Source organism: Homo sapiens, chromosome 6 (genome assembly GCF_000001405.40).
Source record: "Homo sapiens chromosome 6, GRCh38.p14 Primary Assembly".
NCBI lineage: Eukaryota > Metazoa > Chordata > Mammalia > Primates > Hominidae > Homo > Homo sapiens.
In genome coordinates this window covers 110,333,462-110,358,679 of record NC_000006.12, presented here as the reverse complement: position 1 = coordinate 110,358,679, position 25,218 = coordinate 110,333,462, and the positions used below count along the sequence as shown (strand labels likewise).

General features: G+C 42.5%; 1 protein-coding gene and 1 long non-coding RNA gene across 4 annotated transcripts in view; one reads left to right on the top strand and one right to left on the bottom strand.

Moving 5' to 3' along the window:
* Positions 1-330: 330 nt before the first annotated feature.
* Positions 331-25,218, top strand: part of METTL24 (methyltransferase like 24) — a 114,410-nt gene continuing 89,522 nt past the window's right edge. For both annotated transcript variants that reach the window (NM_001354594.2, NM_001123364.3), the window contains exon 1: positions 331-725. Coding sequence is in view for 1 of the 2 variants with exons in the window: in NM_001123364.3 (NP_001116836.1) it covers positions 408-725 (318 nt within the window). In the remaining variant the exon portion in view is untranslated. The remainder of the gene's footprint in view (positions 726-25,218) is intronic.
* On the bottom strand, positions 5,530-23,426 carry LOC102724586 (uncharacterized). Of its 2 annotated transcripts, XR_428004.3 has the most exons (5): positions 23,330-23,426; positions 16,259-16,435; positions 14,737-14,865; positions 5,958-6,066; positions 5,530-5,792 (listed from the first exon to the last, which is right to left on the bottom strand). It is a non-coding gene; the product is annotated as an uncharacterized LOC102724586 (long non-coding RNA). The 2 variants fall into 2 exon arrangements; XR_001744291.2 differs by lacking the exon at positions 23,330-23,426 and having other exon boundaries at positions 5,530-6,066; positions 14,737-14,873; positions 16,259-16,323.

Here is a 25,218-nt window from a genome sequence, read left to right as displayed (position 1 = left end):
CTCCTGTGTTTCTCCAACAACACTAATACCAGAAAATGAAGTTATGGCCCGGGATCCCGTTAGGAATGCGCTTTTTCTGGCCCTATGTCTTTCAGCTCCGTCAGGCTTTGGAGGCCGGGGCGGAGGGCACCTCTTGAGGGACCCTGTACAGCCGGGCCCTGGCACCTCCGGAGGGGCGGAGAGGGCCCCCTGTGACCGCGTTCGGCCCACCACCGTTCCAGCGGCGGGGCGCGCTCGGCAGGGCAGGATAAGGTTACGCCGGGGCTTCCTCGGTCGGGAGGGAGGGAGGCGGGTCCGAGCCCGCACCCCGGCCCGCGGGGGAGTTCCCACAGTTGGCCGCTCCGGCCTGTGGGGCTACATCCCTGCTGCCGGCCAGGCGCGGCCCGCGGGACCCCGAGTGTAGCGCCATGGCCCGGGAGAGGCCGCCCGGGAGGGGCTGCGGCGTCCTGCGCCGGTGTCTACTCGGGGCTGTGCTGTTGTTCGGCCTGCGGCTCTGCGCAGAGCTGCGGCGCGCCGGGCCCGGGTCCCCCACCCGCAGCGCCCCGCCGGGCCCGGCCTGGCGGCCACCTGGGCCGCACCTGCCGCCCGCGCCGGGCCAGCCGCGCGGCGCCAGCAGGAGGCAGGTGACCTACGTGCGCAGCGGTCGCCGGGCGCCGCCGGGGGGCGGCGGGAGCGGGACGCCGGAGCCTGGCTGCTGTGCCCCGCGCGGGCGCCCCCGCCGGAAGGTCAGTTGCAAAGCGGTCGGTCTTGGGCCTGGGACCAGAAGCCCCCTCCCGACCGCGCTACGGAGCCCGGCGCTCAGGTCCCGCAGGCCGCCTCGATGGGACCTCCGGAGGCTTCCGCTTCTTCTCTTCCCCCTGTGCTCTCTTAGGCGGCTCCACGGGTCGCATCTTTCAGTGCCCAGATAGACTGAAGTGCGGCCAAGCGGAGTTCATTCACTATTCAGCCAGTACTTGGGGGTCGCCGTGGCCGGGCGCCCTTCTAGGCTCCGCGCATCCCGTGAAGAAGGACGGAGCCCTGTTCTCACGGAGGATACACTTTAGTAGGGGAGTGTTTGCGTGATAGGCAGGGAAAGGGAAAGGGAAAGGAAGGCGTTGTGGCTGCCATTGATGTGCTGTGCTGCTCCCAGCCTTCTGCTTAAGGCCTGGACAGAGTTGGGTGGGTATCGCCGTGAATGGCCTGTCCACGCCACTGCCTTCATCTCGCTGAAGATCCACCAGCTGGCCGAATTTCCCTGGAGTCTCATTCCAGGCGTTGGCTGGGGGCTGGGAGGCTGGCGCCAGTTGAGAAGCCGAGCACCCAGCCCCACTTAATGAGAAGTTAATTGGATCCTCGAGGACCCAAGTAATAACCTGGGTTTGTCTTATAACTCTCGACCGTGTTGTGCCTCCTACCTCATTAACTTCTTGGCTTACACCTCACTGATTAGTCCATTTTTAGCCTCTGATTGTTAAGGTTTTGGGCTCATCTCCTTTTTGGAGCTCGGTAATTTGCGTCGTACATGGAAATGAAAAGAACTACAGGTATGAGCTCTCCTCATCCTTTTACCCATCAACTCCTGCTTCCAGCCTCAACCACGTTCTCCAAAGCAACTACTTTCCGTTGCCCGGCTGTTCCTCGTTTCTTTTAGACATCCACCCCAACCTCCACCCCGCTTCCCATCACCGGTCCTGGAGGGGAGGGAACAACTCTTCCTTTGCCTCGCTGCTGTCTTCGGCTGCCCAGTGCTAGCCTACTTTTCAGCACCACAACCCAGCACTCCTGCCGGGCTTCACTTCCTCGCTTCCTTCGGGCCTCGCCCTCCGTTTTTCCACACCACTGCTGTTCCTTGCTGGGCCATCGTGCTAACTTCCTGGATAAACTGAAATACCTTTTTCTATCTCGCAAACCTCACCTCCTGTGTAAAGTCTTGATTAGATCTTCCAGAAGAAAGCAGCCACTTCCTCTCCAAGTTCCTAATTCACTGTCCGTGATACCATGTTAAACATTCAGCACAGTTTTGCCAAGGGCTTACCAGGTAGGCATCTGGTGCTGGAGGCACAAAACGAGTTCAGATTCTCGTGGGGGAGGCTCTTAGCACAGGCATCCGGTGATTTCCAATCCTGTAATTGAGGCCTTCAGCTCTGCCTGGGGAGTCAAGAAAGGCTGCTCAAGGCGGGGGACATATTTGAGTTACAATGTGATGTTTCTTTCTTTTCTTTTTCTTTTCTTTTCTTTTCTTTTTCTTTTTTTTATTTGAGCCGGAGTCTTGCTGTGTCGCCCAGGCTGGAGTACAGTGGCTTGATCTTGGCTCACTGCCACTTCCGTCTCCCGGGTTCAAGCGATTCTTCTGGCTCAGCCTACCGAGTAGCTGGGATTACAGGCGTGCACCACCACGCTGGGCTAATTTTTGTATTTTTAATAGAGATGGGTTTCACCATGTTGGCCAGGCTGGTATCGAACTCCTGACCTCAAGTGACCCACCCGCCTCAATCCCCCAAAGTGCTGGAATTACAGGCGTGAGCCACTGCGCCTGGCCAACACTGTGATGTTTCTTAAGAGTGGGGCTTCTTTTATTCCCCTCTGGATGTCCTCAATGTTCCATCCTTGACACCCTCAACCCCTCCCTGCAGTTTTCCTTTTAGATTCACTCAGCATCTGTTGTTTCTGCTGTCATCTGTCAAGTAATTACTCTTAACTCTTTGTCTGTACCTCAAACGACAGTACTGATGGCTGGAGCCTGTCCTACAAAGGACAGGTTTGGAATGCATAGACTCAGTGGGGCGCTGGAGGGGAGGTTCACACTCATCCCTGCTAGGAGCTAGGAGGCTGCCACAGTGATTCAGGCTGGAGATGGGGGTGGCTTGCTGTGGTAGGTGTGGAGGTGGTGAGAAGTGGTTGGTTTCTGGATGTGTTTGGAAGGTGGATGAGGAGGAGCAGTTATTTCTCTCTTGTTTGTTTTGTTTGGGGGATAGATGGAAAGCAGGAATTCAGTTTAAGATATCCTTCAGGCATGCATGTGAAAATGTCAAATAGGCAACCGGACGTGTGAGTCCAGAGCTTGGAGGAGATGTCCAGGCTGAAGGTGGTGATTTGAGAATCATCCAAGTACAAATGGCAGTAAAACTGAGAGATCGTATGTGGTCATCTAGGAAGTGAGTGTGGCTAACAAAGAGAAGCAATCCGAGCCTGTGGCCTGGGGCTCAGTTTTATTACAATTAAATTAGGGAAAAAAGTAAAGGAAATGTTTAGCTTTGTGCCTGGCATGTTTAGCTCTCAATAATGGTAGCTTTACTTTCTACAGTAGGCCCCAGGTTTTTAGCCTCAGCCAGTCTCCAAACGTCATTCACTGTAACCTACAAAGGTGGCTTATGCTCACTCCTCTACCTGCAAGGCCCCATCCCCCTTTCTTATGACTCCTGCCCTTTTCACCCTTGGACATTCCTCAGGTCAAGGTTCATAGCCCAGAAACCTTCCCATAGCAACCCTGCTTCATGCTGACCCCTCCCCCACTTGGAATGACAACAGAAAGAGTCTGATTTGTGCATTGCTTTGTACAAGTTGAGGCCTGATAATCCATTTCGGATGGAATGTTTTGTCTCCACAGTTGTTCTTGATGGGAAGGATTGTATTTCCCATAGTGACCCCTAGTAAATGTTTACTCCTGAGACCCCAGTATGTGAAAGTATAAGAATCTTACTATTTCAGCCTATTCAGTAACTGTAAATGTCTTTGGTTAAAAATTTATAAGAAATAAATGGGCCTTTTGCTATTTCTAAAATATTAAGTTTTTAGTCTCCTAAGGTAAACATTTTCTTAGATTTCCTTCTCGCTAGCTATTATTTTCGGGATATACATCTAACCTTCCCAAATCCCTAGATAGTGTTGATCTTGAATTTGTTTTATTCTCCCATTATTTCACAGTTGAATTAAAATATTCCTTAAAACTATAGAAAGATCAGTTATCTAATCCATCCTCCCACTTCTGGGAACAAAGCTCAATAACCCCATATCTCTCTAGGGACAAGTCTTGTTTCTTTTCTGCCTCACATCAAGACAGCACTGTAATGTAAGCTGAATGTACCATTAAGTAATTGAAATAAAATTAGGAAGCTATTTGTTAAACTCCTTGGATCACAGTGTATTTAGATTTTGTTTGTTGAGAATACTGATCAACAATATTCTTAGGTTCTTGGTTACTTTGCCCCAGGCACCTCCCAGATTGATAAAGGAGAAAAAGTTCCATTCTATTTTGAGGACAGCTTTCTGGGTAGATGAAAACCTGCATGAAATAATTGGGTTGCCAAGTATTTCTTGTTACTCTGCTTCCATTCCAGGTGTTAGAGGCACCAAAATTCTGCCACTTTAATCACAGCTTATGCTCCTCTTAAAGAAAACAATCTGCTATAAAAAAGAGTAGTGAAGTGTAGTCCTCATATAATTCTTTCTTTCCTCGTCCCCTTCTTCATGGAGCCATGCAAGAACTAGCTCTAAATATTTTCAGATCTTTCGACATCAGGGGTTCTAATCTTCAAGCTTTGCAAAATGAGAGCCAATGATAGATGATGGATAAATACTGCCCTTTTTGATTATGCCCACCCTGGAACCTATATATTCTTGTGTATTACAGATTCTTTAAGCATTCTGTCGGGACTCTTCATCTCCAAATTTCGCATACTATGCATGCATAAAAATACCACTGTGATTCTTTTATTTTCTCTCTGTTTTCTATCTGCATGTGTTTCTGTTTGGGTTTTTTTTCTTTCTTAAATGAAACAGACCTTTACTATGATTACAGATAAAGTTCTTTTTGAAGGGATTTATAGAGGACTAGATATGGTCTTCATGATTTATGCTTTTTAATGCAGCTCTTGGGTGGATGTTTTATCTCTTATAGGTTGGCAATCCACCTAAAAGACAGATGCAACATACAGGGCCCATTTGCAAAAGAGAGACACTCACTCAGTGGCCAAGCTTCCCGAAAAAGTTTCATCTCTCTTATCGGATATATTTTACTTGACATTTAATATGTTGGATAGAAAAGTGACTTCTGAGTCACAGAGCTCCAGAACCCAGCAATGTGCTGGCTTGGTTCGTTAGTTACAGATCTTTTGGAACCATGTGTCAGGCGGAAAAAAAAAAAAAAAAAAAAAGAACTGTTTCCTCTTCTCCTGAAAAACCATATGGCAAAATTTGGTTTTTCTTTCTCACTTCTTGTCATCTTCTTAGTTTTCTAATTCTGTGATTGTCATCAAGAAGAAAGAGGAAAAATGGTATGGGATGCCCCCTGATATGTCCAACTGCCTTAAGAGTCCTTATTCTTTACAAAATACTTGAAGATAGGTTTGAATTGCTTGTGAAACATGGCCCAGCAGTAGTTTCTAGCTCCTCAGGTTTTTGCCTGTGTACCTACACTTCTGTTCTTCAGGGAGCAACATTAATCAGTCCTCTCACACTGTCCTTAGGAGGCAAAGCATTTTCATTTTAAACAAAGTCATTGAGGGTAATTGAATAAGCTCCAGCAATATGTGGGTGTGAAATAGCAGTTGCTTAGTCGCACAAAGAAAAGCAGGTTTTTATTACAACTTTGATGTGTCGTGGATGAAGAATAGAGGCCTGCACTTTTTCCAAACCCCGTAGTTCCTCAGAGAGCATTCTGTGGGCAAAGGAACTGCTAATGGAGGCTCGATTGTTTTTCAACCACTGGTGGTGGAGATTTCAGCTTTTTGTGTGTAATTTGTCCCAGTCCATTTTCTCCAAGGAAAAGAATGTCTTGTCAGTTTTCTCAAATAGAATTGGATTTCCTTTTTAGTCTGTGAAGAGAATCAGGTCAAGTAGTTAAACCAAAGACTGTCAAGGGTAGGCATTTGAGTTTTTCCATCTGTGCTGTAATACTTTTGGAGTCCTTGTGTTTCTAAGGAGTTTGGCATGCTTTGTTCTGTGGTTCGTAGAAAGTAACATGAGCCTGTTTTACTTACCGTGGGACACACACCGAGGCAGGAATCTGCCAGCATTGATAAGCTTCTTTTAAAAACACCACTTGGGTCCTCTAGATACCTCACATGAGCTCCATTAATGTCTTATGTTCTGATAAAAAAAAAAAAAAAGATATGAAAATTTGCTGTGCAAGAAACATTTTTATCCTGTTCAAATAATTGAATGAAAATTGAATTTTAAGAGCCTTATAATCTAGACCCATATGTAATATAAACCAATAGCAAGGTGGGTTGCTAGTTGACAGTTCAGGAGGTAAATTTGGCCCACGAATTTTATTTGAACCACACAGTGTTTTAAGTATTTGAACATAAATATCTTTATATGGGGCATATAGTGAGTCCAGTGAGGTCCAGCTCACCATTCTCTCCATTTACCTCACCTGTCTGATCTCTGAAGGCATTTGAAGTTACAACTATAAGACAGAGGTTGTTAAAATTAGCAATTATTTTCCTAAAAAGTGACAATCAAGGCTAAGATTGCTAAGCTCAGTGACGGCATGGCACATGACTACTCGGTTCAGAAAAGCCAAAGGTCCTTTTAAATTGCTCCCGTTAAGGAAGATGAGTTACCTAAGGCTGTAGCTGGATACTGGGGAGGGTAAGATCGTAGGGGAATAGACTTAGTTAACCTAACATTCTTTTGGTTATGAACAGGAACTGGGCTCTAGCCTAACTTAAACAAAAAAGGAAGAAAAAAAGAATTAAAGAATAAACAACTGTATGTGCCTATAATAATTAACAATTAAATTTTTTTAGAATTAAATTTATTGGGAAACCTTGGGATTTCTCACTGAATTGGAGGAAGAGTTAATGACTGCCATGTGGAATAGAGAAGGAATAGGGCTGTTACGGAAATCCCAGCTTTCTGAATTCTTTGATCTTCTCCCTCAAGTGCTATTATAATACAGGTCACCTCACTGGATTCCAGGGCTTGGTCTCTTTGACATTCACACTGGACCAGCCGGCTCAGGCCACTTGACCTAAACAAAGGCCTAGGGCGCCTGCCCAATCCTGGAAGCCATTCTTAGAGAAAAGAGAAACTTTAAGTTACTCTAAGAAGTTAAGTCCTTGGCATGCCTTAAGTATTTGGTATAATTTTTATGCAGTTTTGCCCTTAGGTTTTTGTTTTTCTCATATTTTATTCTATTATTTCAACCAACCCTTGGACTTGAGCACCTAGAAACAGAGTATAGGGTAGCTTTGGTTTTACTAATCCTAGACCCTAACATCAATGTGTGTGTGTGTGAATATACATATGTCTATACCCATCTAGCTAGCTCTATCTTTCTTTAAACATTAACTATTTCTCTATCTACATGTAGTCTTATAGATAGCCTTATTTCCAAGTAGCATTGGCAATAAGTTGGCACTTTGGATATACTACTGACATTTTTAATTTAGTGAATATACGCCTACAAGATCTAGGTATATGTAATATTTTTTAAAGTAAAAAGTCATTTGTGAAGACATTGATTAATTTTTTACTTATTTGTTTATTTTTTTAGAGACAGGGTCTTACCCTGTTGCCCAGGCTGGAGTGCAGTGTTGCGATCATGGCTCACTGCAGCCTCGACCTCCCAACTCAGGCCTCCCAAGTAACTGGTACTACAGCACTGTCACCCGGGCTGGAGTGCAGTGGCGCGATCTCGGCTCACTGCAACCTCCGCCTCCCGGGTTCAAGTGATTCTCCTGCCTCAGCCTCCCAAGTAGCTGGGATTACAGGCGCCTGCCACCACGCCCAGCTAATTTTTTGTATTTTTAGTAGAGATGGGGTTTCACTCTGTTGGCCAGGCTGGTCTCAAACTCCTGACCTAGTGATCTGCCTGCCTCAGCGTCTCAAAGTGCTGGGATTACAGGCATGAGCCACTGAGCCTGGCCTAATTTTTTATTTTATTTTATTTTATTTTATTTTATTTTATTTTATTTTATTTTATTTTATTTTGTTGAGACAGGGTCTCACTATGTTGCTCAGGCTGGCCTTGAACTGCTGGGCTCAAGTGATCCTCCCACCTTGGCCTCCCAAAGTTTTGGGATTACAGATGTGAGTCACCGCACCCGTCCCCCATTTCGAGGACATTTAGTAGAGAACGTAAGTATCAGTATTTAGCCCATGATACCAATTAGGGTTCTCAAACGAAACTTAGAGTCTCATATTCTTTGATTTTTTTTTTTCTGTCATGCATAGTTACCTTGCAGGAAAAAAAAATCTGAAAATTTCTTCAGGGCATCTGAATATTCACAGCCCCCCTTGCAACTGGCTAGCCTGGAATTCTTTAATGCATGATTATTTCTGTATCAGTTAGGACTCTCTGGGTTGCAAGTGGCAGACCCAACTGAAACTAGTACAAACAGGGACTGATTGAAACCCTCCTGGAGAGAAAAAGAAGAGCTGCAGGGACCAGGAAGGCTCTGGAAGTTGATTATGACTAAAATGAGCACTGAAGACCTTAGTTGTCCATATTAGGCACTACCACAGATATAGTGAGTATTTACTATTCTTTTTGGTCACACCTTTGAATATCTTTCCCATGTGTGAGGAATTCTCTGCCTTTCTAAGAAACAAAACAAAAAATAATTGCCACTTGTCTTTGCACCCAAAGTGCATTCATGTGACCTAGGCTTCACCATTTAGACACACCTGCATGAGAGTTTGGATTGTACCCTACAGATGCAAAGCAGGTGGCACGAGGGCCACAGAGTAGCTCAGTGGCCGAGGTTCTATCAGAGGCATCCAGAGCTCAGGGTGGTGTCCATGCCCAGCAGTGAAGCTATGTCATCTACACTGGCATATCTGGAGGTGGTATTCCTGCCCTTGAGATTCTGTAAGCTAATAAATCTTTAATCAATCCTTTTCTGCTTAACTAGCCAGGGTAGTTTCTATTGTTTACAACTAAGAACCTTGGCAGACCAATAAATTAGAGCTGGCAGTTTGGAAGGTTACAACTGTAACTTTTCCTTTTCAATTTTGCTTAGGTCTATTTAATACAGATTTTGGAACATGGTGATCGGGGCCCAAGTGAACTATGGGCTGAAGGACCTTTCCCTGACAAGATAATAACATTTTACTTCAGATACTAAATTACACCAATCTGCTAACTTATTACTAGATCAACTCAATTTAATCAACACCAAGCCCTTTTTCATGGCACTATGTGCCTGAGGCATTGGGTGGGAGGGGCCAGTTTATGCTGTGGTCACAAACAATGCTCCGGACTCATGCTAGCAGAGGTTTATTTCTTGCTTGTGCCAGATATCTGTTGCGGGTGTGGGGTGCTGCTCTGTGCTGTCACTGCATCTCTCTGGACCCCATGCTAGCAGTGTGACTGCCATCTGGAACATTGCTGGTCACCTTGGCAGAGGGATGAATGCTCTGGAGGATCTTTGCATGGCATTATTAAAAGCTCTAGCCTGGAAGCAACACACATTGCCTCTGCTCACAATCCAATGGTCAGAGCCAGTTGCTCAGTCCCACCCAATGCTAGAGGGACCATCCTGCTGTGTGCCGTAGTCAGAGAGTTGGAGACGGGTAGCAAGCAATGCCAGCGGTCACCACAGTATAGTAACCCTTCAATCATCCGTGTCTAAATGGACATCGTCTAGGTCATGTTTCACGTTCGCTGTTTGGGATGCCTCACTGAATCTGCACATTTGACAGTATTGAATACAGCACGGGAGCCTCTTTTCAGGGGACCGAGATCTAAAATGAAGCAGACACCTGAATTTAGCAGAACAGTGAACTAAAACAAGACCCCATTTACATCTTACAAACAGTGCTGTGGTGCATCCTGGAGTTTGTTAAATGCAATGATTCTTGTTGACATTGTTTATGTTAGATTCTTTGCACAGAGCAGAGGTGGGATGATGGTCTGCTGGTCTTTTTCTCTAGGGGGGTGGAATAAAGCAAATTATTTGAATAAATAAAGCCATGAGTGTAAGTGGGCCAAAGGCCTCTGATGAGATGAATCAGACTCCAAGTCAATCCATCTTCACGGCCATCACTTACTCATTTTTAGTTGGAGCTGGTTGAACGACCTCCAAACATGTTTTCAGAATCCGTCCCCAAATCAGAGGCAATATTCGTGTTTTATAGCATTTGCTATTGTGCACAATGCGACAGCAAGTCATTTTAGTTTATTTTTCATGTACTTTGACTAGAGCACGATCACTTAAAAATCCTGATTAGCAAAATACATGCTCATTGAGCTCAGAGTAATTAGGCCATAGAAGGGGGCCTTTTCCTTCAGCAGTTTCGGGAGTAGCGTATGGGAGAAGTCAGTGAAAGTAATACGTGGGATCTAGGAGTCCTGTTTACATGGTTTTACAAATTTCATGAAAATACTTCAGTATGGTGCAGCTTCATCTATAAGATGGGCTCATATTTTCATACTTGCAGTCAGCAGTTTAAATTCTGCTCCCTTGCTTAGTGGATATGGACAAGTGGCATATCCTCTCTGAACTTGAGTTTCTTCCTTTGAAAAAAAGTTACTAATACTTAACTCACAGGGTTGTCGTGAAGATGAAACGAGAGCAGGAAGGTGAAAGCACCTTGCAGGTGTTCACATGGAAAGAGTTCAGTCAATGAATACGGTCTGTGTTCAGCCTTGTGTTTCCAGCTGGGGCACTGGCCTGTAAGTACCAAAAATGTATCGATGTGTGTGCTTGTGGTGGGTAAAGCCCAATGTTCACTGCAATTTTAAATATTTATTTTATTATTCTTGAAACGTAATGCATATATAATATGCTCAGGGATCAGAGGAGTTGGAATTTTTCTTTTTAATCTGAAATAAAAGCTAGCCATAACTAGTATATTTTTGTTAGTGTTTGTATTATAAATGTATTCCCCATATAACTCATTTATTATGAAATTGGTTGAGGCTTATTGTTCACATTAGTTTGTGATTTTTTTTCCTCTCAAAGCTAATTACAAATATCTTTTACAACATGCTGTTCAATGATTTTGGTCCATAGTAGGATTGACAGTATAAATGGGATTCCAGGCTTTTTAAATACCATTTTCCCTCAAAAGAATGTTTACAAATTTCCTATTAACTGGGTCACTTACTACCACTCTGTTACCTCTTTAGTTCAAGGGAGGCCAGTTGGAGCAATTGTGGGTTAAAGAGCTAATTGCTAAATTGTTTTTCCAGTCTTGTCTTCCACGTTTTAGTCAATTAAGTGCATATTATTATACTTGGTACTTTATATGCATTTTAAAGATAAACTCAGTCAACACAATAAAGTCTAAGTATCAGTGTTGCACATGGTTTTATGCAGAATATAATTCCTTCAAGCAGCTTATAATTTAAGAGTGGGGTAGGAGAGGCCTACTGTACTAGGAGAGTTGCATATATTTTTTCATTTAATTCTCAAAACAAAACCGTGAGGTAGGAATTGTTCTCATTTTGCAGACAGGGAAGTCAGGGCTCAACATTTTAATAAATTTGGGCAAGACACAGCTATAAGGCATGAAGTGAAGGTTTAAACTTAAAATCCAGGCTTTTTTCTATATTTGCCTGCTGAGAAGGGAGCTAACAACCAATTCTCATATACAGTGGATTCTTTACCAGATAAAAATTAAAATCTTGTAAACAAGAGGCACTACAAAGTTAAAAGACAAGTCATAGTCTGGGCAAGGATATCTACAATGTATAGCACCAATAAAGGATCAATGTCCAAAATTTTAAAAGAACGCCATCAAAGTGAAAAAGAAAACTGAACAGAAAAATAAACAAGAAATCAGTCAGGGATTAATAGAAGAGGAAACCTGAAAAGTCAAAAAAAATGTATTTACATATAACGATGATTAATAAGGGGAAGAAAATCAAAACACAGTGAGATTTCTATTTCACCTCCATCATACTGGAAAAAATACAAATGTCTGATTGAAAAAAAGGATTGATGGCCATGTGTGCTGACTCACGCCTGTAATCCCAGCACTTTGGGAGGCTGAGGTGGGTGGATGACTTGAGATCAGGAGTTCGAGACCAGCCTGACCAACATAGTGAAACTCTGTCTCTACTAAATATACAAAAATTAGCTGGGCGTGATGGCACATGCCTGTAATCCCAGCTACTTGGGAGGCTGAGGCAGGAGAATCACTTGAACCGGGGAGGTGGAGGTTGCAGTGAGCCAAAATCATGCCATTGCACTCCAGCCTGCTGGGTGACAGAGTGAGACTCCATCTCAAAAAAAAAAAAAAAGAGAGAGAGAGAGAATAATATAGGGACAAAGGAACTGCTTATTACACTGTATCACCTGAAGTAGCTCCCTATCCCTACTCCTCCAATATAGTCTCCTGTTTTCTCCATAGCATTACCGCTCTCTGACAATTTTTTCTTGCTTTAACTTTTGTTTGCAGTCATTCCCTATGAAGGCAGGGAGCTCATCTGTCTTACTCACCATGATATCCCCAGTGACTATGATAGTTCTGGCACACAGTAGGTTCTCAGGAAATACTGGCTGAAAGAATGGTTGTTTCTATCACTGGGTATAGACCAATGGGTTTGAGGAACAGCTGGATCTTTCAAGCGCTACTTGAAAGTCCATTTGAGGTGTCTAATTTCTGAATCAGGGTATTGCATTACAGACTCTTTACACAGATAACCCAGCATTCACTTTGCTTCAGGTAACAGTGGCTGCAGAACAGAAGTTGAGAACCACATGTAGCTTATGTATGGCCCATAAGCTAAGAATGGTTTCTACAGATGAACATTTGTAATCGGTTTGATGTTAGGAAAAACTAACTTTGTTTTTTGTTTTGTTTATAACTTTTGTTTCAGGTTCTGGGGTACATGTGCAGGTTTGTTATACAGGTAAACTTGTGTCATGGGGGCTTGTTGTACAGATTATTTTGACAACCAGGTACTAAGCCTGGTACTGAATAGTTATTTTTTCTGCTCCTCTCCCTCCTCCCATCCTCCACCCTCAAGTAGGTCCCAGTCAGTGTCTATTGTTCTCTTCTTTGTGTCTATGAGTTTTCATCATTAGCTCCCATTTACAAGTGAGAATATACGGTATTTGGTTTTCTGTTCCTGTATTAGTTTACTAACAGTAATGGCCTCCAGCTCCCTTCATGTTCCTGCAAAAGACATGATCTCATTCTTTTTTATGGCTGCCCAACAGTCCATGGTGTATATGTACCACATTTACTTTATCCAGTCTATCACTGATGGGCATTTAGGTTGATTCCATGTCTTTGCTATTGTGAATAGGGCTGCAATGAACATTCATGTGCATGTGTCTTTATGGTAGAATGATTTATATTCCTCTGGGTACAAACCCAATAATGGTTTTGCTGCGTTGAATGGTAGTTCTGCTTTTAGCTCTTTGAGGAATCGCCACACTGCTTTTCACAATGGTTGAACTCATTTACACTCCCACCAACCGTGTATAAATGTTCCCTTTTCTCCATAACCTTGCCAGCATCTGTTACTTTTTGACTTTTTAATAATAGCCTTCTTACTGGTGTGAGATGGTATCTCATTGTGGTTTTGATTTACATTTCTCTACTGATCCGTAATATTGAGATTTTTTTTTCATATGCTTGCTGGCTGCATGTAAATCTTCTTTAGAGAAATGTCTGTTCATGACCTTTGCCCACTTTTTAATGGGGCTGTTTTTTTCTTATAAATGTAAGTTCCTCATAGATGCTGGATATTAGACCTATGTCAGATGCACAGTTTGCAGGCATTTTCTCCCATCCACTACAGGTTGTTTGCTAACTCTGTTGATAGTTTCTTTTGCTATGCAGAAGCTCTTAAGTTTAAGTAGATCCCATTTGTCAATTTTTGCTTTTGTTGCGTTTGCTTTTGGCGTTTTTGTCATGAAGTCTTTGCTCGTTCCTGTGTCCAGGATAGTATTGCCTAGGCTGTCTTCCAGAGTTTTATAGTTATAGGATTGACATTTAAGGCTTTAATCCATCTTTAATTGATTTTTGTGTATGGTACAAGGAAGGGGCCTAGTTTCAGTCTTCTGTATATGGCTAGCCAGTTATGCCACAACATTTATTGAATAGAGAATCCTTTCCCCATTGCTTGGGAAACACTAACTTGGGGTATATACATTCCAGGTATATACCCCAATGGATTTGCTATCAATAAACTTCATTCTTCTCATTAACAGATCTGTATTACTAAAATTTGTGCACAATTATTATTTTTTTATTTCATCAATAAAAGTTGTAGAAATTTATCTTTTTATATAACTACCTATTTATTAATAATATTCTTGATTTTGCTTCTTGGCTCACAAAGTTTAAGTATTTACTGTGTGGCTTTTTTCAGAAAATTTTTGTCAACCCCTGCTACAGAAGTGGCCTCAGGGCCCCTTAGCTGTGACTGTTGCAGGAGGGTGGGTGAGAAAAAACTTCAGTAGACCCAGTCATGTCCAGGAGACTCTCGTGCTAGAGTTTTTTTCATCTGCAGCATGAGAACAGTCCTTGACTTCCATAGGGCACTGAGAATGTTTTGGGACTTTCTGACCATTTATGGGAATGGCACCGCAAAGTCTCGAAGGTCATGAGTCCATTGTCATGCAGTGAACATTGAAGGGGTAAATCTTGGATTTGCCTCCTACTCCGTTACCCACCCTTATAACATAACCGTTGCATTGTTGGGCAGATTACAGTATGAAAGTCAGGTGATCTCATCTCTTCCAGCTTCTGGGGTCACCCTTTCCCCTAATACTTAAAATGGCTTGAGCCATGTACTATAAGTTCAGTACCTTTTCTTCTCTCCAATATTCTGATAATAATGGGGCTTACCTTTCCTGGTCATCTTTCTTTGAATTTCTGCTGCTACCTCAGTGTTTCACCTCTGGCCACTGCTGTCTCCTCTTCGCTCTGCACTGCCCGCTTCTCTAATCTTCCAGACTGACACCAACACAGGCCTTACTGAAGGTCTCAGGGAAAAGGAGGAAAATATCAACATGGTTCAAAACAGAAATCAACTAAAACTGATTAAAGTTTTCTTGGCCATTGGGGTTTCTTACAGGCTGTATTTTCTTCTTAGGCCCCTGCTCCATTGTTCCTGCATTCTCTTATCTACACATCAATCCCTTTTCCATTTTCAGGCCTTCAACACCCCTACTCCCTACCTGACTCTAGCAAATAAATGTCATTTTCTTCCTCAGGCAATTTAGCTTCCTCTGTTTTCCCCTTTCCTTCCGGGCCTGTCCTAGGCATGAATTATGCCACTCTGGCAGAAGGCAGAATTGGCTGCAGTGAGTGTTTGTTTTCAATAATCCTGTTTCTCCTTTCCTCTCTACTACTAGACAATTCATAAAATGTGCTCAGCACAGTGCCTTGTCCATAGGAAGCACTCATTATATGTTCATTGTTCTTATTATTAAGAGGATTGTGCCAACTTAGGCCCAGTGCTGGTCCCCTCATCCTAGCTATGGCTACTGCTGTGTTATGGTACAGGGGAAATATATTATTAGTGGTACTTTGAGAGCAGCAATATATTGCTTCATGCAGAACCCCTTTTTCCCTTTCTTCCTGTCTTCATTTTCTCCTTTGGCTTTTGGGGTTCCTGATGAACTATATTTATTTCTATCTGCCATGGAAATGGGTACACGGAGGGTGATGACATAAACGTTAGGGTTCAAAAGTGCTCAGAAATGACCCAGCAATTGCATTCCAGGTATATACCTAAGACAACTGAAAACATGTTTACACAAAACTTGTCCATGATTATTCATAGGGTCATTATCCATAGTAGCCAAAAGTTGGAAACCATCCAAATGTCTATCAGCTGACGAATGGGTACACAAGATGTGGTATACCCATACAGGGGAAACTTACTCAACTATAAAAAGGGATGAAGCACTGATACATGCTACAACATGGATGGACCTTGAAACCTAATGCTAAGTAAAAGCAATCACAAAAGGCCACATATTGCATTACTCATTTTTTAATGAAATGTCCAGAATAGGCAAATCTAGAGAGACAGAAAGTAGATTAGTGGTTGCCAGAGGCTGGGGGTAGAGGGGAATGGGAAGCAACTGCTACTAGGAAAGGAGTTTCTTTTTGGGGTGATGAAAGTATTCTGGAATTAGATAATGGTGTCAGTTGCACAAGCTGTATATATACTAAAAGCCACAGTGAAATGGTAAATTTAAAATAGTAAATTTTGTGGCATGTGAATCATATCTCCGTTTTTCAAAAATGCTCAGAAGCCCATGGAATGCATGACAGGTGTGAAAGTACATGATATTCTCTGTTCAGATAAAGAGAAATGAACTGTGAGCGTACCCTGGGACCTCAGCCTGATGGTACTCACTTGTGGGCACAGGCGTCTTCAGCAGAAATGTGGAGCCCACATGCTGGCCTCTCTAGGTAGCACTTGGCTTGGCCTCTCAGGAATCTTCTTCTGGCTGCTGGTGAACTTCATGGTGCTCCCTCTCCCAACAGCTCCCCAGGCATGGCAGACGCATTGCAGAATCAGATACACACAGCCCTGCATTAGAAACATAGGAGCTTGCTGTTTGCCAGAGCAGAGAGAGCCTCAAGCTGCCATCGCTGTGAGCTTGCTGACCTCCTAGTGCATTAGCTTTTTGCACAAAGCACTGACACTGACCACCAGGGGGTTGTCAAAAGATGTGGCCAGGAAGCTGTCAGCCCATTGCACCTCTTATACAAGGGAGCGCTTGTTCTGCTAAGGATTTCAGCTACCTTGGCCCTTCTTTCTCACCTTCATTCTCACTCAGATGACTGTTGTCACCTCATTCTAATGACTTGTGTGCCAGAAGCATCCTATGCATTTTGGAGGGCTTTTGCGTTAAAAAGGGAACAGCAGCTACAGTATCTTGCTTTTAAATAGCTCCTCCCAGCCTACAAAGGCTTGCTCTGTTGTTATCCCAAGTGATTCTCATCATAGCCTTGTGAGTGAGACGGACGTTATGTCCATTCTACCAAGAAGAAATCTGGTTAAATTACTGGATTGAGATAAATTGCGATTATAATCCAGATCAGATGAGGTCAGATTTCATGTTCTTTCTGCTCTATACTGAGACTGCCTCTATGCTGAAATCTGGATCTCAGAAAAATATGTTGATTACTATACATTTTAGGTTTGATATTAAGGCTTCTTAGACATTTTCCAAATGAACGAATATATCTTAAAGCTTAATTTCAGCAATTTTGTCAGGTTAGAATTTCAAGTATATCTTACATTTCTTAAAAAAAATTTGAACTGGTTATATAATTAGGATAGGGCATGTCCTTTTGAATAGTGAATATTCATTTTGCTCAGAAATAGCAGAAAATGGCTTATTTAACTAATGTGCACTTAGAGGAACCTCAATCAGGAGCAGATAGCTACATCAGTTTTGAAATTGAAATGCTTGAATTTATTTGGATATCCTGGTTACAGAGAGTTGTTTTGGAAAATCCAAATGCCTGGGCCTTATTCCTGGACAGGGAATGTTCTTATTTGTAAAACCAAACTACCAGCACAGATTGGAGCCTGTTTAACACATACAACATTGTATCCTTTCTTGTTATGGTCATGTGTTGAGACAAGACACAGGAGAAAAGAGTGCCATCTATATGTATAATTTGTTATTTTAAAAACATAGGTAAGCCATGATGCTGACAATTAAAATAAATATGTGTATATTTGTTCAAGCCATTAACTTAATAGGAAAAACAGACATAAAGTGCCCTTCATTTTTTTGGAAAAAAAAAAAGTTTTAATAATAAAACCATACAGGAATGTGAGAAGTAGGGTAAGGGAAATTGGAAATTTACTTTTCTGTGTCTTTTATCTGAGGAATTCTTAGGTTATAGTTATTTTGAAATCCAAACTTTTCAATGTAAAAATAGAAGTGAAGAAAGAGGAACAGATTGGAGTCTGGAAAAAAAAATAGAGAACGTACAGCAGGAAGGCTGTGTACGGGGGAATGCTGTGTTCAGCCTCATCTCAGATTTCCTCCGTACTGTGGAGATAACCAGGACGGTGAATACTTGAACGGTGTTCAGAACAGTGGTTCTCCATGCTTTTGAGTTACAAAATTTTGATGAAAACAATTTGATGGAAGCTGTGGACAAGTGCTCCAGAATACTGAACATTTGCACACATGCACATTCATTTGCAGTTGATTTCAGCATATTCATGATCCTCATGAAGGTCGCTCATGAAGAGTGGGTCAGAATCGGCCATAGGAGTTTTCAGATTACAGATACCTAGGTCTCCCCTAGCCCAGGGCTCCTGTGATGGACCACTCTGGCAGGGAGGCATGAGTGCCAGGTTAAGACATGGCCAGGGATGGTTGTGATGGTTGATTTCTAAACTTGGGGTAGAGAGTTCAGTAACTGGTGTTCATCTTTAACTGAGAGCTGCCCCAGTGTGATGGGCTTCTCTCTCCCGGAATCACTTCACTGCTGGCTGGGCTGAACCCTCAGGAGGTGGGCCTACTGTCCTGGACAACAGCCCCTAGAGTCAGGACCCCTCCTCACCACCCCCATGCCCCTGCCCCTCAGCAACCCAGGCCTGGCCTAGCTCCATCCTCCTTGTGCCAGATGTGTGAGCGCCCTGGACTCCTTAAGTTAGACCTTGAAGAAGAGCTGTGTTTTCTTTTCAGGATAGTAGCCAGTTGTTCCTCCCTCCTATTGATTTTTGTGTTGTTTCATTTGTAAATAAGTGCCTGTTCTATGCTGTTAAAATGATGAATGCTAAAACAGTCTTTAAAGGTGGGAAAATTCATAGCTTCTTGAGAAAATAAATATAAAGGAAGTTATGGGTCATCTCTTCAACCTTGTCCACATCCTGGTTTATGTTCGTATTCCTCCAGCTAGGCACCAACATTACTCTGGCATCTTCTAAGTTAGTTAATAACATGGCACTGTCTCTAGCTATACACTTGTGTCATCTCTACAATCGTTTAATTGACAAGTTGAGTAGAAGCCCCATATCCAAAGTCACCAATCTGTAGTAATTGGTCAGTTATATACAATAAAGTATGATTGAAACAGTGAATCACAAAAACATATACATAGACCATCTATTTTAACTGAAAACATATACGTGTACATTTGTTTGCCAATCTTTTGTTGTGTGTATTGCCCCTGGCTGGAGTTCTGATCTTTCTTGCCCAAAGCCATCTATACTATATCACCCACCCTTCCCAGTTTTGGTTTCTTTAAAGTGGAGCAAGAATTTGACACTTGTAAAATAGTCTAAGTGCAGAACACCTCCAGATTTTAGTGATTTTGTTATTCTTTTTTGCAGTTACCTCACCCATACCTAATGCACAGTATTTAGAAATGGCACCTAGCCTTTATTGACTTGTTTTTTCTTAGGAAAGAGAACTCATTTTCTTTCTATGCACACATTTCATTGGTTTACCTAATTTTCAATTAAATTATGTCATTTCAATAACTTGTACAACTGATAGAAACTGGTTTGGGAGCAAGCCAAATGACTCCTAGCGGGAGAATGAACCAAGCTGTTAGCTGCAGGAGTGCACAGATAGGGAAAATTCTGAGTTGGTTTTGTAGAGACAGATTAAGAGTGCTTGTACTGCAGTATGTGTTGAAGAAAATAAAAGTTGTGGCACCATGTTTTAAGGTACACTGAAGCTACTTTATTTTACTTGTAAAATAAATTCCTATAAGGAGGAATGCACTTACTTAACTTTAAGAGAATCTGCACAACATCACTATCCAGGATGAATGATTAGAAGTAGACCAGAACAGTTATGACCAGGAGGTTATCTCTGGGAGGTCATCTCTGTGGGATCAACCTCCCATGACAAACACTGTTTTCATCTTCACCTTTACCAACTACTTTTTCTGCATTTAACCAATAAAATTTGCAGTAACAAATATCGATAGTTGCAAGGTTACATACAAACAGTCTTTGGAATTACGAAAGCTAACTTTCAATATTATAGACTAATTAGCTCAGTGCTGTTAAATGATTTGGACAAAACCTAACCTTAATGATTTCAAGTAGAGAACTTATACAGATTTAGCTTAAAGTTTATGATAACTGCTATGTAAATACTTAACTTTTTAATCTATTAAAACAAATGCTAATTTTTAATGAAGTGTTTTAAATTCTCAAAAATGCTTCCTTGTAGTTTTTCTCAGGGTTCCTGCTAAACTACTTGCCATCTCTGGTTTTAACTTTAATTTGAACAAAGCTGAATCGAAGACACGTTGGGGTTTTTGTTATTGTTGTTTTCCTTTGGCTTTGTTTTTTGAGACAGAATCTTGCTCTGTTGCCCAGGTTGGAGGACAGTGGCATGATCTCAGCTCACTGCAACCTCCACCTCCCAGACTCAAGTGATTCTCCTGCCTCAGCTTCCTGAGTAGCTGGTATTACAGGCATGCACCATCACGCCCAGCTAATTTTTGTATTTTTAGTAGAGATAGGGTTTTGCCCATGTTGGCCAGGTTGGTCTCAAACTCCCAACCTCAGGTGATCCACCCACCTCAGCCTCCCAAAGTGCTGGGATTACAGGTGTGAGCCACCACACCCAGCCAACATGTAGGGTTTATAATAATTTATTTCCACCCAAAGAAAGAGTATGTATATTTAGCTAGATTAAGGTATTACTATAAAGTCCAGTTAGTGAATTTCCCTGCTTTCTTCCAAAGTCATTAAAACAAATTGTCCTCAGCCCTGAGGATTATATCATGTTCTTTCCTCCCTGGCATTTAAATCAGTGTAAAAATGTCCCTTGGAATCATTTCTGTGGGGGACTGTAAAAGCAGCAAAACACATGGCATCTTCACAGAGCTTGTAGTCTGGTTAGAGAAACAAGATTGACACACTTGAAACAGATTTTACCAAATGTTTGATTAAGTATAAAATGGGAAGTAAAAGTAATAATTGCTGAAGCACCTGCTTTGCATGGTCTATTTTGCACATAGTAGAGGCTTGAAGGATTAAGAAATTTGAGGGAATATGTGGAACTAAAACTAGAGTCTGAAGAATAAGTGGAATCTGAACTGACTAGTGAATAAGCGGGAGAATTCTGGGCAGGAGGAAAAGTATGTTAGGGTCATGATGCAACAGGATTTGTTTTGTAACTGGAATTTCCTTATGGTCTATCTGGGCACTTCCTAACTTCCCTGAATCTGATCTTGACACTGACTTGTCCTTGGTTATACTTTTCTTTCCCTATCCAAGAATCTGCATAAGACCAATGGTCTGTTCTAGCCTACCATTCAATCTCTGATGGTGTGGCATTGGGAAAGTGCTGTAGGGGTACATTCATAATGATAACCACCTCTTTTTTATTATTCTGTGCACTCTTTTTTTCTAACTTTTATTTTAGGTTCTAGGGTACATGTGAAGGTTTGTTACATAGGTAAACTCATATAATGGGGGTTTGTTGTACAGATTATTTCATCACCCAAGTATTGAGCCTAGTACCCAATAGTTATTTTTCCATTCTTCTCCCTTCTCCAACCCTCGACCCTCAAGTAGAACCCAGTGTCTGCTCTTCCCTCCTTTGTGCCTATGAGTTCTCATCATTTAGCTCCCACTTCTAAGTGAGAACATGCAGTATTTGGTTTTCTATTCCTGCATTAGTTTGATAAGGATAATGGCCTCCAGCTCCATCTATGTTCCTGCAAAAGATATGATCTTGTTCTGTTTTATGGCTGCATAGTATTTCATGGTGTATATGTACCACATTTTCTTTATCCAGCCTGTCACTCATGGGTATTTAGGTTGATTCCATGTCTTTGCTATTGTGAATAGTGATGTGGTGAACATTCACGTGCATGTGTCTTTATGGCAGAATGATTTATATTCCTCTGGGTACATACCCAATAATGCGATTGATGGGTTGAATATTAGTTCTACTTTTAGCTCTTTGAGGCATCACCACACTGCGTTCCCTAACGGTTGAACTAATTTTCACTCCCACCGACAGTGTATAAGTGTTCCCTTTTCTCTGCAACCTCGCCAGCAAATGATAACCATCTTTTTGTTTTTTTTTTTTTTTTTTGAGGCGGAGTCTTGCTGTGTCGCCCAGGCTGGAGTGCAGTGGCGCAATCTCAGCTCACTGCAAGCCCCGCCTCCTGGGTTCACCCATTCTTCTGCCTCAGCCTCCCAAGTAGCTGGGGCTACAGGCGCCCGCCACCATGCCTGCCTAATTTTTTGTATTTTTAGTAGAGACGGGGTTTCACCGTGTTAGCCAGGATGGTCTCTATCTCCTGACCTCGTGATCCGCCCACCTCAGCCTCCCAAAGTGCTGGGATTACAGGCATGAGCCACCGCGCCCAGCTGATAACCATCTTTTATCGAGTGCCTTTTAGTAGGTGCTTGCATGAATCAGGATAGGCTAGGTTATGATGCAGTAACAAACATTCATGTGGGTGTTTGATTTCAAATTTCAGTGGATTAAAATGAAGAACTTTTATTTCTTGCTATGCTACATGGCCAGTGTGGGTTGGTAGGGATGAGAGGCAAGGCCTCAGCTTGTTGCTGTCATTCAGGGACTCGGGCTGGCCCCTGCCCCTACTTACATATACCACTGCCACTCATCAGAAAGGCCCAAATCCTTTCCCGTGACACATTGTAATCCTCCTTTCTAACTCACTAAGGATTTATCCTCCATGACATTTTCAGAACCACTAGTGAACTTTTTAGTGTGTTCTGTATCTTCTGGAGAAAGAATTTCATGGATTTCTTACCTGTTGCACTGAGTTTATCAGTGCAAGACAGCCATTTTGGTTTTTACCTGGGAATCCTTTCTGAAGTACTACTGGGCATGCCATGTCTATATTATCAACTAGCTTTGGGGACGATAAAACTCAGACCTGGGTTGGAGGCAGCATGGGGTAGTGGAGCAAGTATGGGACCAGCAGCCTAGAGGCCTGGGCCAGAATCCATCACTGTCACCTCCTACCTGGGTGACTTTGCCATGTCATTTCACCTCTCTGAACTTCGTTTTCTTCAATTATAATATGAAGCAGCTAGTCTTGATTATTATTAAGGTCTCTTTTAATGCAAAGACCCCCTACCAGTACAATAGGTGCAGTGTAGGCCCAGCTACTTGGGAGGCTGAGGCAGGAGTATTACTTGAGTCCAGGAGTTCAAGTCTAGCCTGGGCAATATAGTGAAACCCTAGTCTTAAACATTTTTTTCATAAAAAAAAAAAAAAAAAAAAAAAAAAAACAATGATTCCCTACAAGTACAAAGCAAGTAAAATTTAAAGCTTGAAATTGTTTGTGTCTTTTGTATTCTGTAACTGCTTTTTTCATTGTAAGTTTTTACTTATGGATGGAAGGTTGTTTTTCTTTAATGAAAGGAATATTAGTCATTTCTCATACAATTAAGAAATATATTCGAGATTTCATCAGCTTAGATCTGCTATGTTATACAGTTTGTCACCTGTACTCTCGTTATTTCCAATCTGAAATGGGGAGAGGGTCCTGGGCTGAGGTCAGTTGCCACTTTGGCAGCTTCGCTTCTAACTTTGGAGATTCTTGCTCCCATTCACCAAAGAATCCTGAGTCCAGAGAGTTCCACAGCAGCAAACCCAATCAGAATGGATTGACTTCCAAAAAGGTCTGCTTCCTTCAGCAATTCTTCATGTCCCTGAAAAAGGCCACTTCGTAATAAAGACTGTGGATTTTTCCTTCCATTTAGGGTTGAGGTTGAAATACTTTTGGTTCCAGAGGAGTCCAGTCGACTCTGCCTGCCTTGTTCTGCCCTGGTGGCAGCTTCCCAGAGATTCAAAAGAAGCTTTTATGTGGCTTCTCCTAACTTGTCAGCCACTATAACTTATAGTGCATTCAGACAGAAAAATGTTCTATAAATATAGAATCATGCAAGGAATGTCCTGGAACCAGAGCGTTATCTGTAATTGTCAGGTAGGATTTACTGAGACTACCAAATACTGTATCATTGTCAAATGGCAAGAGAGTAGGATAGGTCAGTATGAAACATGAACAATATGAAAATGACAAAAGAGTTAATGGATGAATGAATGCTGAGAACTGAGAAATACATATATGTATACCTGCACGGTTACGTGCAACCAATGACATATTCAGTGGGATGTGATAGCCTCATGAGGAAACCGCTGCTACTCTTTAACCATGTGATAAATGGTGTGTGGCTTTGCTCTCCCCCATCCCCCAACCCCTGGGCCTGTCTACTCGTGGCAGAGCACTTTATGTCCTGCTTGCTTTTGTCCTGTCTCAGAGGAGAGGATTCAAGCACCATCCAGTGTCTACAACTGGTTTCCAAGAAAGGCTTTGCTTCCCGTCAATGTCCTGTGCCACGTGTGGCCTCTGTCCCCTTGTCAGCCTTTGGGGTGGCTGTGGGATGCTGCTGCTCTGTGTTTTGGGTGCTCTCTGTGGCCTCTGGGATGCATTATTTCTGCCACGGTCCATGTTCTCCTGCGCTTGCTGACTAGGTGAGGCATTTTAATTCTTTTCCGTGATAAAAATGACTTCTGGTTTAAAGCCTGGAAAGGAAACACTTTCCCTGGTTTGAGTGAAGTTGAGACTGATGTGGGCTGAGAGCCACCAAAGAGACCTCGGGGAGCCCTGTGGGCCCCCGGGTTGCAGGTTCTCTCGTGGGGAAGATGGAGATTGCTGTGCAGGTGTTGCGGGAAGACCCCCCTTTCCTCTGTTTTCTCTCAGGCCCCCCTTTTCCTGTTCTCGTCTCCATTCCTCCCCCCACTTTTTTTCTGTCTGGCTTATTTACTTATAGAGAACACTACTCTAAAATGAAAATAGAATATATAACTTCTAAGTTACTCTTATTAAAAATGATGAAATACAGAAAATCTGAGAATGACAACATGTAGAGAGTGGATGGGAAAAATAAAAAGAAAAGCCTCAAAATAAAAGTATAAATAAAGTAATGTAAATGCACTTAAGTGTGTCAGTTATCAAGAAATATAACTATTGAAGGGAAAAGTTTATAAAATTAAATCAACTCAGTGCTGTATACAAAAGAAGTATTCAAAGTAACATAGGTTAAAAATCAAGGCTGGGCGTGGTGGCTTACGCCTGTAATCCCAGAACTTTGGGAGGCCGAGGTGGGCAGGTCATTTGAGGTCACGAGCTTGAGACCAGCCTGGCCAACATGGTGAAACTCCATCTCTACTAAAAATACAGAAATTAGCACCCACCTGTAATCCCAGCTACTCGGGAAGCTGAGGCAGGAGAAATCACTTGAATCTGGGAGGCAGAGGTTGTAGTGAGCCGAGATCATGTCACTGCACTCTAGCCTGAGCAAGACTCCCCTCAAAAAATACATAAATAAAT